General features: G+C 41.1%; 1 long non-coding RNA gene across 1 annotated transcript in view; it reads left to right on the forward strand.

Annotated features, from left to right (window-relative positions):
- Window positions 1–20,038, forward strand: part of LOC102725227 (uncharacterized) — a 33,938-nt gene that overhangs the window by 11,533 nt on the left and 2,367 nt on the right. The window lies entirely within an intron of this gene.

The raw sequence follows: 20,038 nt of genomic DNA on the forward strand, positions 1-20,038 counted from the left end.
AAGGGCTCCTGAGATTCTATGATGATCTCTCTGTAGACAGAGCTTGGTTCCTGGGAGGAGTTAACATGCTCATTCATTGGTGTGCTTGTCAAATGCATAACTCAGATATATCAAACAGGGTGCAGCTCTTTTTTTAAATTTAATTTAATTTAAAGTTCCAGGATACATGTGCAGGACATGCAGGTTTGTTACATAGGTAAATGTGTGCCATAGTGGTTTACAGTGCAGCTCTTTAGGAACCTCAGTAAGACCTTTGTCCTGTGAGTTAGCAGGAAAGGGGTGGCTTTGCCCCAAAGGAAGGGTAACTATTCACGATGAGGTTGAGTTTTCTATTGCCCATGCCCACACCTATTTTTTTTAATACGAGGAAGGAGGGAGACAGGGAGGCAGATGAGTAGACAAGTGGCAGAAAATACCTTTCCAATGCTCCCATGCTGATCAATATGCCTGCACTACCCTGCTGGGTCATAATCCCTGTAACTTGGCTTCATTTACAGGGTCCAACGCAGGATGCCTGGAAGCCGAATGGACACAGATAGGACTGAAGAGAACAGAACACAAGGTCTTCATTCTTTGGACAACCTATTCGTATTCTATTCCCATTTTTTTAAAACTTGCATAACATCTTTCTTCTCCCCTTTGCCTTTCCACATACTCTGTTGGTGATAAATAAAGGGAAAGGTGTTTCCCAACAAAAGAAAGTTCTAAAGGAACATCTTCACAGCCTAATTGGCTGGCTTTTAATTTTGAAGAATCTTGACAATGTCGTTTTCCTAATTAGACTAGGAGAACCTGATAGGGGTGCTGATATTACCTCCTCCAGGAAATTAAGTGTATAAGACAGCTTCTATCCAAAGGAAACTGTCCACTCTTTCTCTAAGTAATTACTTTCCCCAACTTCACATCAGTGAAACTTGAACCTTTTAGAAGAGAAAGGCCTTGCACCCTCTGCCCGGGTGTACATCACATGTGCCAAATCACAGAAAAAATCTTGAGGAGGTCTAAGTTTTAACACTTTAAAGTTAGAAGATTCTCCCAGTTTTCTCTGCCTGTTCTATGTCTCTATATGTAGTTTCATATTGATTATAGATGTAGATATTCACATTTCCTCTTGATGAAGAAAAAGAAGTTGTGCTTCTGCAAATGAAAACAAATTCCATTATTTCTTAATGACTCTAAGTTCTCCCAAACTGAATTGGACCCTGCAAAAGGTAGTCAGGTACTTGCCTCTGGCAGAGGCCACTATGTAATACATTAGGGCCATTAGGGCGAGAGGGAGGAGAGCTTGTCACACACGAAGCCATTGTACCATTTTATATACAACAGGAGATATCTCCCAAACCCCACGGGTGGTCTAATAGCCTAAAGCATCAGAATTGATTACCCTTGGCTTGCTTAATTCCAAATGTCCTTGATGGTCAACAAAAGACTTGGTTGATGCAGAATTCTAAACTCCCTGTCCCTGGTTAAGCACTGTAGTAGTAGCTGCCTGGACAGTAAGAAGAGATGTTTGAAAAGAGTATGAACCTAAGCCACTGACTTGTAATATAGAAATCAAGTCAGTTACCCATTTTGCCCACAACATTTGTGTTATGCAGAGGGGTTGCTTCTCCCTTTCACAAGCAGGAAAACTGTGAACTGCAGTGAAGGCAGGCAGAGACTTTACTTCCTGGGGCATAGACTTATTTTGCTGATAGAAAGGCCCTGGGCCTCAGTAGGCTCCTAATAAAAAATAAGGTAAACATAAAAAAATTAAAAATAAAATTTGAAAATAACATTAAAAGATTAAAAATGAAACCATCTAGTCAATGGTTTCTCTCTGCTCTTGGAGTAAAGACCAAAATCTCCCAAGGACCTGCTTGATCTGGCCCATCTCCCTCTGCATTCTCATGAAGCTCCTGTCTTCCCACTCTGAGTACCCTCTGCTGCTCTCCTTTAGCTCTTCCAGCTCAGCTCACTGCTCCAGAGCCTTTGCACAAGAAGCATCTCCTGTAAGTAGAATGCTGTTTCCTTCCTCTAGCCTAGTAATGCCTGTTCATCCTTCAGCTCAGGTATCACTTCCTTAGGGAAGGTTTTCTCCCCTTTGGGACCAGATCAGTGCTCTCTGTAATAAGCACTCTTAGTTCACTGGACTTTTTCTTTTGAGTATTAATCGATTTGCAAGTATTCCTTTATGGGATTATTTAATTACCATTAGCTTCCATAAGGAGGAACTGTAGTCATGAACCACATAGTGCATTCCCATCAATGAGGGACCACATATTGGGTGGTGTTCCCATAAAATTATAATGCCGTACTTTTACTGTGTTTTCTGGAATGAAGGTAATAATCCCATGTAGATTTCTAGGACCTCAGCCCTAGAGAGGGTCACTTAGTAAATTTAGTGTGAAAATCTGTATTCAAAACCATCACCTAAGGACATTCTGATGCAAGTAAGCCTCATCACACACTAGAAATGCTGGTCTAGGTTGGGCATGGTGGCTCATACCTATAATCCCAGCATTTTGGGAGGCCAAGGCAGGAGGATCACTTGAGGCCAGAAGTTTGAGACCAGCCTGGACAAACAGCAAGACCCCATCTCTATTTTTTTAAAAAGAAAGAAACACTGGTCCACATTACTTAGAGGAGGAACCTTTAGAGAGCACAGCTAAGTCCATATTCTTTGTTTAAATATTTTGTATAGTTCTATTTGTAAGAGGTAAGGAGAGGGCCTTGAGATTTCCCTCAGGATGAATTCAGTTCTCTGTGGGAAGCAATTCTCCACAACCACCTTTTAGTTCTAACTTAGAGCCAATAGATGGTAGCTTTGTCAGGGTTGGTGGTTCCTGATTCTATTGAAAGTACAGGAAAATTATGAATCAATGGTTCATGGCCACAGGGTAGGTGCTGAAATAAGATAAGAGGGCAGACTAATGGAACCCCATAACCAAGCTATGTGGCTCCATCTTGGACATCTGAAAGAGGTAGTGTGGTGCGGTGAAAAGAACATCAGGCCAAAGTTGGTCCTGCCATTTACTAGTTGCACAGCCTTGCTTGAATGAATCTTTTGGGCATCAGTTTGCTTATTTATAAAATGGGGACAATTAATATTACTTCGTGGTGGTGTCAGAAGGATCAGACATAACATATATAAAGCCCTTGGCATGTAATACACATGCAAAAAAGCACACATGTACATACAGACGTGTGTGTGTGTGTGTGGTAGATTATGTGTATCTTGGGTTTCAAGGAAAAAGCCAAATTATATATTATTTTTTCTATTATAAAGCCGTGTTTAAAAAACGGGTAATAATCTCTGAAACACAGATTTCTGGGTTTTTTTGTTTTTGTTTTTTGTTTGTTTTTTTTGAGACAGAGTCTCGCTGTGTTGCCCAGGCTAGAGTGCAATGGCACGATCTCGTCTCACTGCAACCTCTGCCTCCCGAGTTCAGTCAATTCTTCTACCTCCACCTCCTGAGTAGCTGGGACCACAGGTATGTGCCACCACACCTGGCTAATTTTTGTATTTTTAATAGAGAGGGGTTTTCACCATATTGGCCAGGCTGGTCTTGAACTCCTGACCTCGTGATCCGCCTGGCTCGGCCTCCTAAAGTGCTGGGATTACAGGAGTAAACCACCATGCCCGACCTCTGTTTTTATTTTTAGGGATTATGTGAATTTGAGTGGAAGCATTGTCACATCAATACCTTCTTGCTTCACTCAGGCAAGCAACTGAAAGGGAAATTCTGTATCTTTAACTTATCCTCCACTTCTCAGAATAAAGAAAGCAAAACATTTCAACCTCTCCAAAAATGTTGTCAACCCATTAAGTGTTTATTAGCATTTTACTTCCCAAGTACAAATCAGAAATAGAATAGTTTTAGCCAATGAAATGTTTTATATAGGAAATAATCAGAGAACAATACCAGGTGGTATGCAAACCTTTCTAGCTCACAGAAGGGCAGAGCAGAGGGAAAATGGACCATGTAATCCAAGTCTGTGACCATGGATTTGTGGGAATGGAAGAGAATATTCACACTGAAGAGTGTGAGATGGGGGTGAGGTGCTGAGGTGGGTCACTGAAGGTTGAGCAATAACCTCAGAGATAGTCCAAGGCCTCCCTGGGGTGGTAGAAAGGGCAGAGAAAGTCAAGTTTTTCCAGACTTATCAGTGAGCAGAACATGGATAGACCCAGCAAGGGGAAGAAAAATTGGAGGCAGGAGAACTGTAGTAGCTTCTGATTAAAAATGGAGACGCAGTCAGGTGCAGTGGCTTGCACCTGTAATGCTAGCATTTTAGGAGGCCAACAGGAGGATTGCTTGAGTCTAGGAGTTCGAGGCTAGCTTGGGCAACATAGCAAGACCTGGTCTCTACTTAAAAAAAAAAAGAGAGATGCCTCTCTGGGTGTTTGTGTTCATGCTTTGGTTGGGTTCACGGTGATTGCTTTAGTTGGGGGTGGGTGGAGGACCCATGAGAGTCATTGCTGGGCTCCTCATAGCTGCAGTGTGGGGGTCAGGGCATGCCATCAGCTGTCAGTGGTGGTTGGAACAGCCCTGTTTGGGCTGCTCTGTGAACATGTAGAGAGATTCCATCGTCTCTCACAGTACATTTTGCTTTCTGTAAAAATTGTCCTTGGGGTAGGAAGATCCTCATTTTCGGTACAGAACAAACACAAATAAGATATTTCATATCTTCTCTGCCATTTTCACCCTTCCCTGTAATTGGAAACTCTTGCCCCCAGTCTCACCTGTAGGATTCTATCTTCAAATGTAGAATTCTCTTCTCCTCACCAACCCCTCCCTGTCTGTCTCATTTTTTCCCTGCTTCAAATTTTCATGATCTTTTATTTTTCAGTTCTTTTGATTAGTGATGGTAAAGGGAGTAGGGGAGAAGAGGGAGAGGACTCTTCTGTTTCATTAGTTTCTGATAAAGTGTGCAGTTTTTAAAGGCTGCTTTCAAAAATCCACACACTTTCTGTTGAACAGTCTTTAATTTACCTCCTCTTTTCAGGCTTTGGTTTTGTGCTCAGAGGCATTCAGACCTTGTGCACCTCCACATGGTGTCTGAACTGCCTCCAGCTGATTCTGAGGGTTGAGCTTTTCTTTACCCTTCAGCTTGCTATTAGCCATTTTCTTCTTATTCCTGGAGTATGCTCGTTTTCCTCAAGTTCACTGCTGCGGACTTTCTCTTGGGAGTCACCCCCAATTATAATATCAAACCCAGTTTGTGGGGTGATCTAGCTGCCCAATACAGCTCTCATACTCAGACACTCCCTGTTACATAAGACAAAATGAATTCTCTTCTCCTCACTAGTAGACACTCACCCAAGTTGCATTTAAGTCTGGGTTGCTTATAAAGCATCAACATATCACCTCCCCCGATTGCACCTAGTATGTTTCATAGGCAAAACCTGAGAGAATCTTTGTTGTTCTAATTACAGTTATTGTGTTAGCAACTCGAGTTATTACTCAGTGACTAGATGTATGCATATTTCTTTTTAAAATCTTTTGGGTGTTTGGGATTTGAAACCTAAGGGCTTTTTCATTTTTGTAAGTTATTTCCCCAATAAGACACATACAGCTTGGGTTGTTGAGGTTTGGGGAAAGGAGTAGAGGGGCTTCAGGGTGCTTGTTCCTCGGTAGTGAAAGTCACAGTACGTGACTACTTTTGGGCTTCTTGGTGAGTCTTACTCTGTGGGAGTCCTCCCTTCCTCCTTCCCTCCCTCCCTTCCTTTGTATCCTTTCATTCCTCTTCCTCTTCTTCATGACAGTTGTTCTTGCTTTCCTTTCAACTAGAAGTGAAGGTGCCTTCATCACTCTTAGGCTCTCTTTCCCCTTATCTTTTTTTGATGTTTTTTAAAATTTATTTTATTTTTATTTTATTTGTTTTTTTGAGACAGGGTCTTGGTCAGTTGCCCAGAGCTGGAATGCAGTGGCACCATCATAGCTCACTGCAGCCTCAACCTTCTGGGCTCAAACCATCCTCCTACCTCAGCCTCCCAGGTAGCTGAGACTACATGGTGCGCACCACCAACTCCTGGCTAATTTTTGCAATTTTTTTGTAGAGATGGGATTTCACTATTTTGCCCAGGCTGGCCTCAAACTCCTGGGCTCAAGCGACCCACCTGCCTTGGCCTCCCAAAGTGCTGGGATTACAGGCGTGAGCCACCGTGCCAGACCCTCTTCCCCCTTACCTTCCTAATCATCTCTCCCCATCCACTGCACCCAGGCTTCACTTCCTCTTTAAGTCCTCAAGGTAAGCTTCAAAACCAACCTCTGCTTGTGACTCTGAGTCTTTACAGATGTCATTCTTGTTTCACTACTTTTCAGTCCAGCAGAATAGCTCAGCCCTGTATCAGCCAGCAAGTTTCTTTCCACATTTCTGTCTGTCCAAAATATTTTAAAGGCCAGGCGCAGTGGCTCATACCTGTAACCCCAGCAGTTTGGGAGACCGAGGTGGGCGGATCATTTGAGGTCTGGAATTTGAGACCAGCCTGGCCAACACGGTGAAACCCCATCTTTACCAAAAATACAAAAATTAGCCAGGTGTGGTGGTACATGCCTGTAATCTCAGCTACTCAGGAGGCTGAGGCAGGAGAATTGTTTGAACCTGGGAGGTGGAGGTTGCAATGAGCTGAAATCGTGCCACTTGCTTTTTAGCCTGGATGACAGAGCAAGACTCTGCCTCAAAAAAAAAAAAAAAAAAAAAAAAAGCCCAAAATATATTTAAAATATTTAGGACTTCTTTGGAGTTCTTAGGGCCTAAGAACATTCTGGAGATTTTGGGTCCAGTACAATATGTAATGTAGTTGTGAACATGACCTTGCTCCTAATTCCCTAAAAGCCAACCAGATGTCCCTACTATTGTTTCCAGACCTCCTGACCCCAAGCAGCCTCCTCTAAACCATCTCCTATCCTAGACTTCTGGGACTCTGAGAATATTGTTGTTCATTACATCCATTCATTCATTCTTACAGTTGGTCCACAAATACCTGGAGAAAGGCCCACAAGGGGCTTTGAGATGTATAAATATAAGACCTGAATTACAGTCTCAGGATGTTCCCCATTCCAAGTCTCTTAGGGTAGGGACCTAAGGACCCCTGGAAAAGGAACAAACAGGGATTTCGAATATATATAATTTTCCTATCATAAAACAGGAATGGTTCTGTTTACATATCTCTTGCTAAACTTAATTCTGTATTGGCTTAAGTGCAAGCTTGATCAGAGACACTAGTAGAAGGAAGCTTCTTTGAGCTCTGGTCCTATTGTATGAATTGATCTCTAATTAAGGAAGAGTTTTCCCCTCAGGGTTATACACAGAATCTTACTCTATTAATTTGTTTCTGGGCCTTTGTTGCTATGAACTTTGGCCAGCATTTCACCCCCATCTGTGAACACACTCTGGGAATCCCGCACATCCACACTTTCTGGGTGAGGAGAGAGACAAGTGGCTCCCGTTTAGGCTGCATCTGACCTAGCCCTGTCCCTCAAGTCTCCCACCCTGTCCAAGTGAATGTAAGAGTAAGACTCCTAGCCCTGGCCTTCTCCTAACAACAAAAGAAAGTTTCAGTTTCCTGAAAAGTCTTGCACTTTCCATCTTTCTGTCTGTTCATCTACTCCCTATCATCAGAATCACTCTTCTGGATTGAGATTGGAAGGGAAATGAGAGTGAAAATGTCATAGGAGCCAGAGCTTTTCCACCTTGACTGTGTCATTAAGCAGCACATTCTACACCATGGAATTTAAGATGCCGTCAACTGTAAGATGTAACGTTATTTTATGTCTGATATGGTTTGGCTACGTCCCCACCCAAATCTCATTTTGAATTGTAGTTCTCATAATCCCCAGATGTTGTGGGAGGGACTGAGGGAGGTAATTGAATCATGGGGGTGGGTTTTCCTCTGCTGGTCTTGTGACAGTGAATAAGTCTCACAAGATCTGATGGTTTTATAAAGGGGAGTTTCCCTGCACACGTTCTCTTGCCTGCTGCCATGTAAGATGTGCCTTTTCTCCTCATTCGCCTTCCACCATGATTGTGAGGCCTCCCCAGCCATGTGGAACTATGAATCCATTAAACCTCTTTTCCTTTATACATTACCCAGTCCCAGGTATGTCTTTTATTAGCAGCATGAGAACGGACTCATACAATGTTCCACAGGAAAAAAGAAACCAGCCAATTAAACTATGATAATCATTGACTGAAAAAATATGCATTCTGGAATCAACGAAATATGTAGCACAGTGATTACATGTACAGGACTTGGAGTCAGGCTGCTTGGGTTTGAATCTCAGCTCTGTTGCTTAATGTTTGACTTTGGGCAAGCCATGTAACCCCTGTGCCTCAGTTTCCTCATCATTGAGATGACAATAATTGTATCTACTTGAGAGGGTAGTTGTGAGTATTAAATAAATGCCTACATGTAAAACACTTAACAATACTTAGAATATAATAAAGGCTTAATAAATGTTAACAATTTTTAGTTGAATGCTAATAAAGTGTAGTTAACAACTAAAAGTATTGAGCAATTACTATGTTTCTGGTGTGGTGCCAAGCACTTAGGATGGATTATCTTGTCTTGACCTATAATCAAGTAACCCAAGGAGGACGATGCTATGATTATTCCATCTTAAAATGCATTTTTTTTTTTTTTTTTTTGGAGACAGTCTCTCTCTGTCACCCAGGTTGGAATGCTGTGGCACAATCTCGGCTCACTGCAACCTCTGCCTCCTGGGTTCAAGTGATTCTCATGTCTCAGCCTCCTGAGTAGCTGGGATTACATGCACATACCACCACACCTGGCTGATTTTTGTATTTTTAATAGAGACGGGGTTTTGCCATGTTAGCCAGGCTGGTCTCGAATGCCTGACCTCAAATGATTTGCCTGCTGGGATTACAGGCATGAGCCACCACATCCAGCCTTAAACTCCTTTTTAAGGAGATCCTTCCTTTTGTTTTTGAGACAGGGCTTCATTCTGTCACTCAGGGTAGAGTCCAGTAGCATGATCATAGCCTACTGCAGCCTCAAACTCCTGGGCTCAAGCAATCTTCCTGCCTTAGCCCTCTTGAGTAACTGGGACTACAGGTGTACACAACTAGGCCCAGCTAATTTTTTTTTTTTTTTTTTTTTTTTTGGTAGAGACAGTGTCTCACTATGTTGCTCAGGCTAGTCTCAAATTCCTGGCCTCAAGTGATCCCAGTGAACATTTTTTATTTTACTGCTCTGGAGGTCAGAAGTCTAAAAATCAGACTGTCAGCAGGGCTATGTTCCTTCTGGAGGCTCTAGAGAAGAATCCATTGCCTTGCTTCCTTTTACAGTTTCTATAGGCCATCTGCATTCCTTGGCTTATGGCCCCTTCCTCAAATCACTACAGCTTCTTGCTTCTAAATCACTCCAGCTTCTTGCTTTTATTGTCACATCTCCAACTATTCACTCGGATCTTCCTGCCTTTCTTTTATAAGACCCCTTCAGAGTCCACCGAGTCCACCTGGGTAATCCAGGATAATCTCATCTCAAGATTCTTGACTTAATCACACATGCAAAGTCGATTTTTTCCATGTAAGGTAACACAAGTTCCAGGGATAGAATGTAAATATTTTTTAGGGGTCTTATTCAACTTGCCCCAGACATGATAAAATTTGTATTAAAAAATTGATGGAAGAGGAGAGAATGGAGTAAGAAAGACCAGTTAAGTGACTGATTAATACTACAGATGAGGGATGATCAGGTCATAGACCAAGATAGTCACAGTGGGGAGAGAAAGGTAGAGTCAGATTGCAGATGTTGGGAGGTAGATTTGCTCTCAAAGCATTATCCTGAGCACTAGGATTTCTTTTTATTATTATTATTATTATTATTATTATTATACTTTAAGTTTTAGAGTACATGTGCACAACGTGCAGGTTTGTTACATATGTATACATGTGCCATGTTGGTGTGCTGCACCCATTAACTCGTCGTTTAGCATTAGGTATATCACCTAATGCTATCCCTTCCCCCTCCCCCCATCATTAGGATTTCTGACAAGCCTCCAGGTGGTATCCATGCTGCTGGCTCTTGAACAACAGCTTGAGTGGGAAGGTCCTGGGGAAAACCAGCATTCAAGGGGTGTCAAAAGGAACCCAAGGCCGGGTGCAGTGGCTCACACCTGTAATCCTAGCATGTTGGGAGACTGAGGTGGGAGAATCAATTGTGGCCCAGAGTTCAAGACAAGCCTGGGCAACATAATGAGAACCCATCTCTACAAAAAATAGAAAAAAAAGTTAGCTGGGCATAGTGATGCACACCTGTAGTCCCAGCTACTCGTGAGGCTGAGGCAGGAGAATTGCTTTCGCCCAAGAGTTCTAGGCTGCAATCAGCCGTGATTGCACCACTGCACTCCAGCCTGGGCAACAGAGTGAGACCCTGTCTCTAAAAACAAGAACAACAAAAAGAAGATGAAGAAAAAGAAAAGGAGGAGGAGAAGGAAGAGGAAGAAGAAGAAGAAGAAAGAGAAGAAGAAGAAGAAAAAGAAGAAGAAGAAGAAGAAGAAGAAGAAGAAGAAGAAGAAGAAGAAGAAGAAGAGAAACACAAGAGGCAGAGACCATAGCTTCTGTGAAGAAGAATCCCAAGAGAGGATGGTGTCCTGAAGCCCTCCGGAAAGGAGAGGATTTTAAGAATGTGGTCAAGAGAGGAAAAGAAAGATGCTAAAAACTGTCCAAAAGATTTGGCTACTAAGTCACTGGTGTCCTTAAAGAGAGCAGGTTTGGTGGGGTTGTGAGAGCCCAAAGTCTGTACCATTTTGCCCTACCTTCTCTGAATAGATTCTATTCAGCTATATTTATCTAAAAATGTGGGACTGGGTTAGCAGAGAGGGGCAGAGGCACAGGGAACACTCTGTCTTAACTCCAGCAGCAGCTGTGCTGTCATGGGAGCTCAAAGCCATGGCATGTCAGTTTACGGGCCTGTTCTTGGCTCTGGGTGTGCTGCCATCTCCACCTGTGAGCTTATTTTGGGACATGCAAAATATTTATTTGCAAAAGTACACAACAGCAGACAGCATGAAATAATGGGCCTCATAAATATCCTACAACTGCAACAGCAACACCAAATGCCTAGGTTAGTGGACTGAAGGAAGAAGGGCACTTCAGGTGAAGGCTGATGTCCACCTGCTTACTTATTCAGTTCACTCTTCCAGGAGGCTCCATCATGCAGAATTATTTTCTTTTGGTGTTATATTCTATCTTATCTTTCCCGCCCTATGCATTAAAAACAGATTGTGTTTTTGTTTGTTTGGGGTGTACATTGACCTAAAATTAAGGGATTACAATTTGGTCATAAATTGTAATCCCATCATTTTAATAGAGGCCATGCCTCTAAGAATACATTAATGATTGTTAGCTTGTCTTCATATTCTCTACTTTGATGTCCTTCTGTCGCTCTGGAGAGCCATCTAGTCTTTTAAAAGAGCACGGTTGCACATTTGTTAAGGCATAAGGGGGCTAACTTGTTCTTTTCTGTATATGACTCTACCAACTGTGACCTTACAAAGCAGAAAGGAGATATCTACAGTATTATGGTGACGATTTGTGGAGGAAAATACTAAGACAGAATGAAAATGGAAACTGGAAGCCCATTGGCTCTGTTTCTCTATTATTTTAAAAGGAAACAACCACTTAATACTGGATTTTCTAAAAGGAAAAAAAGAAGTAAAAATAAAAGCTAATTTTAGTTTAGGTTGCGTTTGCTCATTTGCATATTCCCCTTTTCCTGTTTGTTGGAATCAGAGAAAAATAACTATCATCTAACCTTTTGACTTAAACACAATTTGGCATTTTAGTTGGTTCATTCTTTGATTGTCAAAGTTTTCCTTTAAAAAAAAAGCAATTTTCTCTACCCTCTTTGATATTGAAGTATTCATTTCTATTCCACTGGAGTGGCATTTAAAAAAATCTGTTTTGATGTCACAATTATTCTACCATTAGAACACTGGATTCAAACAATCATTTCATTTCACTTTATCTGCTTCATTGATGATCACCAAAAAAATACACTAGTCATCAAGGCCCTCTTTGTGCTTTTTTGTCCACTTGGTGCATGGCTGGTGAGTCTAACAAACAAAGTAAAGTACACCGTGATAAGTAATCGAGTATGTTTGTGGTATTTGCATTGTATCCAGGCTGAAATAGATAAATGACAAGAGGAGAGTAGCTACTACTATTGACTGGGAACAGACAATGTTGGACATAGACTTCTGTGAACTCTATCTGAGCTGGCTCTGTCAGCCCCCATCTCTCTGAGAGGTTGGGGTTATTATTCTCTTTTTCTAGGAGACAAATCTGAAGCTCAGAGCAGCTAGGTAAACTCTTCCAGGTCACAAAAATGCTATATTTCATTGAATTTTAGATGTCACCGGTTTTATTGATTTTATGTACCGTGAAGAAAGAAAGATATACCACCACAACTATACCACAGTAATTGTTTTATTCCTTAGAATTTTTATTGTATACCTATTGGAAGAGTTTCTTGGCTAGGCTCAGTGGCTCACGCCTGTAATCCTAGCACTTTGGGAGGCAGAGGTGGGCGGATCACTTGAGCCCAGGGGTTTGAAACCAGCCAGGGCAACGTGGCGAAACCCTGTCTCTACAAAAATACAAAAAAAAAATTAGCCAGGCACGGCGGTGCACGCCTGTAGTCTCAGTACTCAGGAGGCTGAGGTGGGAGGATTGTTTGAGCCCAGGAAGTGGAGGTTGCAGTGAGCCAAGATTGAGCCACTGCACTCCAGCCTGGGCGACAGAGTGAGACCCTGAAAAAGATTTTAAACTTATTTTGGCATGGATTTCTCTCATATACATCTCTTGTGCATATGTAATAAGGAAAGTATACATGAAATAAATTAGTTAAGGTATTTACAAAACTTCAGATTCTGAGTCTGATTCATCTGAATTATTTTCCAACTTGGAGTCATCAAGTTCATGTTTGGCTGCACAGGATCACCCTCTTTGCCATCAAGAGCATTGGTGATGTAGTATTTCCTAAGAGATGTCCCCACTCATCTCCAGGATTCTCTTCCTAGCCATTGCACAGTTTCATGCCCGTGTATAGGCAATGACAACTAAGGCTGACTGCTGCTGGCTGACAGCGCATGTGGGCTGCAGTATGACTTCAGAAATATTAAAATGTGAGTAAATATATGTCTTTAGGTTCAAATTTAGGTCTGTGTATCTCTTAACTCAGGCACAGAGAAGAGGCTTGTGCCGTGTGTTTCCAGAGGTTGTTGTTTCCCATCATAGGGCAGGAGCAGGTGCTAGATTTGATCTGAACTCCAACTTCTGCTCCTTACCTCTCACTCAGTTCTTAGTACCACCTATGTTCCCTTTCACACCTCTTATGGAGGCAGCTTGGTGAACTTTTGGGGGAAAAGGAAAATTCAAAACCAAATGAAGAACTTTTTCTGGTTGTTGCTGTCGAAACCTCCCTGATGATTTCAGTGGAAGTTCTCTGGAGCAGACAATTTCACAAACATCTGAATCAAGTGTACTCTGTCAGAGTCACCAGAGTGTGAAGATTCTGCTGTTTAGTTCTGTGCAAGGAGATTGGTTAAGAAAATTGTGAAGTATCCCAAATGCAGACAGCTGTCGCTCCGAGGAACTGACTATACTGAACTTCCTTGGGATGCCCGCCCCTAATTGCTGCAGCTATAACCACTGCTTGTAGCCAGGGTGGGCTGAAAAGTACCACAGTCTGCTGTGGAAAAAAGCCTCATGTCCATAGGTTTTAGAGTTGAACCTACATCATCGTAAATGAATTTCTTGGATGGATGCCCCCTTTGCCTAAAACACAGGAGGGATCACACTAAGAGAAGTCATCCAAGATGCTCATGTTTTGTGCATGAAAGTACGTCTGTATATATTTTCCATTTTGACCTTTTCAGTTCTCTTTGAGCACTGGAGTTTGTATATTTGTTTTATATTTTGGCAGCTAGGGACCAAGATATTTCTTTTCTGTTTGTTTTCTCCAACTCTTTTTACAGTTTAACAAGTCAAATACAAAACTCAGGGGAGTTAATAAGCCTCGTGATGGTATTGTGCATAGCATCACATTATTGATTAGATATACTGCATTGGAATGCTGTAGAAGAGCCCCAAACCAAAAAATTTCAGACGCCTGAAGCTTTGAGCTTTCCAATTAGGCTGAAAGGTTCCCCTGATAACCAGTAGTGCTGAAGCTTTTAACATTGTTTAGCTCTATCAGTTATCAGCAACATTTTCTAGTTATGGAGGCCAGAGGATCACTTGATGTCAGCAAGGTAGCTCATCTAATCTACTTGCCCCCTTTCTAATCAAATATTCCATCTGGAAGAAAAGAAATTTTCAGTTTCACGTAAGCTGATCATAATTGGGAGCAAACGCTTCTTTCCCTTCTTCTATGCTATCTCCTCTTGTGCAGTCTATTTTGCATCCAAAGATACATTTGAAAGTCGAAATCCCTTAAAGCGAAATATTCTAAACTGACAGAAGAATTTCTAGTGGCACAGCAGCCTAGAGCCATGTTTTTATGAGGACATCACTTTCTATTTCCAAGCTTCACCATGCACTCTTGCTTTCTTAGTGCTGGGAGCCATGCCACATCAACTTGCCTCCCTCTCAGCTTTTAATGTTTTTTTAATGGAGTCCAGTTTTCCACCTAAGTTATAGCTAGCTTTCTGACAAACCATCAGACACCTAAGTGACCATAATGGAAGTGTCCAGATGTGACATGGGAAAAGGCTATGGCTCACTTTCGTGCCTTTAAACAAAACCATATTATAACCATTCATTTTTACTTGGCCTCTGGGTTTGCTGTAAAGGCTAAAATGGGGCTTAAGAAAACATTTTAAAAATTAATATATGATATGAAGTCTTTTCTTGTAATCCACAAGCAAAAGCAATCATTTCTAAATCTGGCTGGCATGGTGAGTATGCTGCCTGTACAGTGAAACAGCAGGAGTGCTGCATGTTTTTCTGAAGCAAAGAACTGCTCAGGTAGCAATGAAGTTAGTTATCTAATGAAATAAAGCAAATGCACTTTACAGATTCCCAGTTGTTTAGAAGAATTTAAGAAAATAATTGTAAATTAAAATGAATTTGAAATGAATGGTGAATCATTGGAAATGCAAATTTATCAGAGAATACGGGCATTTCTATGATAAAGGAAGAAATATATCCTCTTGAAAGTCAGCAATTTAGATGGCTTTATCTATACAATTTGGAAGACATTTGCAGAGCATTTGGTAATTAAATATGCCCTCAGCTGAGCAATAATGCCCGGGGTTGTCCTGCTGGCAAATAAAAGCTAAGTATTCTTACTATGCCTGGGTTTTGAATTTCTGCTTGGAATCCTGTGAGTTGTCTGTGATACTGCTTGTGAGGTTGTACAATCCATACAATAATGTGAGTAAATCAGTTTTTACTAAAAAACAAGCAGAATTCATTTTCCTAGCTTCTCAACAACTGGCTCTTTCTTGACATTCAGATTTTAGCTCAACATCTCCACCTACCCAGTGAAGCCTTTCCGTCCACGTTAGCCCACCCTATCTGACCACGTTCCTTTATTTTTATTTCACTGATCACTGTCTGAAATGATTTTCTTCATTTGTTTGCTGGTTTATTGAATGCCTCTGCCTAGGAGAAAATAAACTCTTTGAGAGCAGGATGTTACCTGTCTCCTTCATGTCTGATTTCCCAGCTCTTGGAAGCAGTGCTGGCACATTGTGAGGTCTTCAATAAGGGAGGTTACATGAATGAATGAATGAATGAATGAATGAAGAGTGCTGACTGGCATATAGCTCCAAAGGGAGTTATAGAACATTGGATAGCTCATAGGCTTGGTATAAGATATGGATATACATGGAGTCTAATAAAATGTAGCCTAATGAGGGCAGGAACTATCTTTATACTTGAAAAAAATTTCCACGACAGCTGATATTTTACACTGTTGGAGGCTTATCAATGGGGATTTCTTGAGGAGGTGACCTGGTGTTATAATTCATGCCAGCAAGGGTATGGGGGGGTAGTGGGGGCCACTTTCAGGGATCATAAGCCCACAGTAAGTCACCTGGATTGACGAGGACTGTCCTTTCCAGTGTGGACAATTCTGTTCACTTGAAATTCCTTGAACAGAGTTTTTTTCTTAAACAAAAAATAGAAAGATATTTTACCATGTGATTAATATTTTGGGTGCTTTCTGTTAAACCGATCCTTGCCTTTACGTAGGTAAAAACTGTTCTTAAAAAAGCAGTTTGGCTGATGGAGTCTGAGATTCATTAAAAAGATTAGTAACTTAAAAGAAAACAAAAACAAGAAACTTCTTTGAATTTGATGTATTTTATAGGAAGGGGCCTAGTTTGATGTTGCCCAGCTTAACTTTTTATCCAAATTGCCCTTGAGGAATGTTTTTTAATCAGATGCATTTTTATCCGTATCTTCTGAAGTGACTTTTTTTTTTCTTTTTACAGGAGGGTAGAATAACATGGAAAGCAGCTTTTATTCACTCCAAGGACAGCTAACTCACATACAACAAAGGGCAGAATAAGTCTCTAGGTGCATAGATTAGCCTCAGGGTGTCATGGGTGTGTGTGTCTTACTTAGGAACCTCTTTAAAAATAACTACCTTGTGATTAGTATCTGATGCTAATGGTATATTTTCATTTAGAAAGTCTGAGGTCTTTATTTTCTGAGACAGTGAATGAACTTCTTTTCACCTTGTTCCTGGCTGTTTTTCCTCCATTGCCTTAATAAAGACTGAGGTGCATAGGCACATACACCTTCCTGCAAATGGTAAATTTTCTAATAAAACAGTTTCCCTTTCTATTATAATTCCAGTTGAGTGAAATATAAAATATTTACTAAGCCCCTTTTTTATTTTTAAGGTATATATTTTCTGGGTGGTTTATGCATTTAAGAAAAGGAATGAATATTTTCTTTTTTCTTTCTTTTTTTTTTTTTTAGGCGGAGTTTCGCTCTTGTTGCCCAGGCTGGAGTGCAATCGTGCGATCTCAGCTCACCGTAACCTCTGCCTCCCGGGTTCAAGTGATTCTCCTGCCTCAGTCTCCTGAGTAGCTGGGATTACAGGCATGCACCACCATGCCTGGCTAATTTTGTATTTTTTTTTTCTTTTAGTAGAAATGGGGTTTCTCCATGTTGGTCAGGCTAGTTGAGAATTCCTGACCTCAGGTGATCTGCCCCCCTCGGCCTCTCAAAGTGCTGGGATTACAAATGTGAACATTTTCTTACTGATTCTGTCTAATGTTTCTGTTTAATATGGTTACCAGGGGAAGCCCATCTGGGGGAAGGGTTTATAAGTTTAACTAAAATGTGAGAAATGGAGATAGAGAACACTGTAGTGTTCTTTCCAGCCAAAGCTCGTTAATACAATTTTGGTCATGTTCAAAGACTTTTAAAAAATGGGTTTGGAGACAATTTTATGTCCAGTCTTTAATCACTAACCACAGCGTGTTTCTCCCGTCACTTCCGTGATTCCGAGGTTAGCATATAAGGTTTGGATCACGGCAATGGCTGCATTGTGAGCCACATATAAAAAAAGTTGTAATCAATTTCTTTGATGTCATAAAGTCACAGCCCACCAATCTAATATCAACGTAATGGGATAGAAATTGTCAGGCTATAGTTAGTTACTGGCTTTAAAAAAAATTAAAGCATCAACAAAATCTGCTTCTAGCAAGAAACATGTATATTAAAAGACTATTTGGGGAAAAAATGAATGTAAATCCTTCCTTGTTTGAGTGACTTCTAGTAGTTCATATGTTTTCTAAAACAAAAGCGTGTGGAAAATGAAGGCCATTCCATGGAAGCTGGTGAATATGTAGGGTCCTTATAAGGTCTAGCTTTCTGGAGTTTGTCATTAAAGTGTGGTTTTATGATTCCTCCCAAAAAAGTTGGGGGTAAGAAAAGGGAGAACCCAGAACAAGGGAGAGAGAAGAATGGTGGCAAACAGGAATATGGACAAACTGGAGACTGATCTGTAAACTTGGGAGGAGATGGTTTCCTTAAGAAGTTTGCACGTAATATTTAAGTGATGCATTCATATAACATCTTGACTTAATAAAAGAAAAAGAAAAGAAAATGAAAGAAAAAATCTGCAGCAAGACAATAAAAAGTTTCCTCCTCATACCCACCGCCTTAGGGGTTTTTCCTTGGAGCCTCAGAGCTTATCCCACTGAAACTCATCAATTTTTGCTTTTATGCTGGAAATGCCCGAAAACATTTGAAGCTTCATAGCCACCCTTTGGGGTGAGAAGGTTTCACAATGCCCGCAGAGCCACACAGCCTGTCCCCAGGGAAGGCCAAGGGGCCACAGGGTGGGGGAGAGAGGCATTCTTTCTGTTCCTAGGCAGGGATCAAGTGCCCTTCCCCTGCCAGTCTGCAAACAAAGGACCCAACCTCAAAGCTCTTGCCCCAGCGCGTGACCTCGGGGGCCAAAGGCAAAACATTTTATCTCTGGGTCCTAGTGACATAAGCTCCTCAGGCTCTGCAATTGTAGTTTATGATGTGACTAGAAACCTTTGATGGAATGACTATTGCCTTCTATTTCTCTGCCCAGCCATTTATTATTCTGTATATTTTTGAGAGCTGTGGGAAACTTTCATAACCAAAGCCTGAGCCAGGCTAAAACTTGTTCTATTTGGAATCTCTAATGAAGTCAAAACATGGCCTGGATTTTCTGAAAGGCTCCTCTGGCTGCCTGCAACAGCCCCAGGGCACAATCAGACAAGGATGGAGAAGGCCTGGGAGCAGATTTTGTTACCAAGAATAGGACAGAACAATGTTTGCCTCCAAAACACTAGGGCTGCTATTTACCTTCTCAGCTGGAAGAAGTGAGGCATAAATGCATTATTGCACATAAAGTGTAAATACCAATTCTTTAATTTCTAAATTTTTAGGATTTTATTTTTTCTTAACTCCCCTTAAATAAAACGTCAGGGAAAATTTTTAGCATAATTGATTTCCTGAACTAAGGGAATAAATTCATTTCAGAAGTTTTGACCTTCTAAAGTGCTGTTACTTTGCCTAAAATGGAAGTATGGAGGAGGCAGAATAAAAATTGTAAGACATTTCCAGGTGATTATGGGGGTTGAGAACGCTTCCATGTGTGTGCTGTGTGTGTTGGCAATGTCATTATTTCAGGAACTGCTATGAAAAAACCAAGTTTCCCTATGTTTGGATGTAAAACTTCATCTACTTTTCAGAAGCTCTCCAAAATTATTTACCAGCTTGAGCCTGCTCCCTCAAAAGGAGCCTCAGTTCCTAACAAAAGTGGTAAGTTGTAAAATGTAGGTCCTAGTTTTTACTTAAGTCAAAGGTTAATAGTAAAAGGGGGGTTGATTCCTCACTGTTTCAAGTTAATGTTTATTTTTCACCATCATTTAAAGGATTTTTCAGGCCGTTATTTCACTGCTGAAAGCAGAGTAAGAGAACTCAGATCATGCCCCAGGGCTTGAATAAAGGAATAAAAACAGCACAACATTTGCATCTATTTAACTGTCTCAGTTCTAAGAGTCCCCTCACAGTAAGAGGGGGGAAACCGTATCTCTAGGTTAAATGAAGCTTTTCTGAGATATTTGCCGAAAACACAATTCAGAGAAAGATAATCATTGTCAGAAATGACCTAGGAAGTCAAGGCCTTGTGATTGAAAACACAAAGCTTAGAAAGGTGCATTCTCTTGCTTCTCTGCCTGCCCGGATATCAATGAACATCAGCTAAAGGTGGCTGAAGAACCAATTTCATGCATCTACTGTACGAGGAAATGAACTGAGCCAAGGGCAAAAATAAAATTATACAAATGTTATTATAGACTAGCCTGCTTCTGTCCTAGTTTAATTCAAATTTTAGTGCTGCAGGCTTTGCTTCTGGCAGTAGCCTTCCTGAATAAATCAACATTTGCTTACATCTAAATTATTAGGGAAGCATGTGACTTTGTTTATTGTATAAATTATACGCAAGGTTAAAGCATTAACTGTTGAACTGGCTTTGTTCAGTCACCTCCCCAACTCTCCCCCAAATCATCTCTCCCCTAAATAGGAA

The sequence above is a fragment of the Homo sapiens genome, chromosome 18, assembly GCF_000001405.40.
Source record: "Homo sapiens chromosome 18, GRCh38.p14 Primary Assembly".
Lineage (NCBI taxonomy): Eukaryota > Metazoa > Chordata > Mammalia > Primates > Hominidae > Homo > Homo sapiens.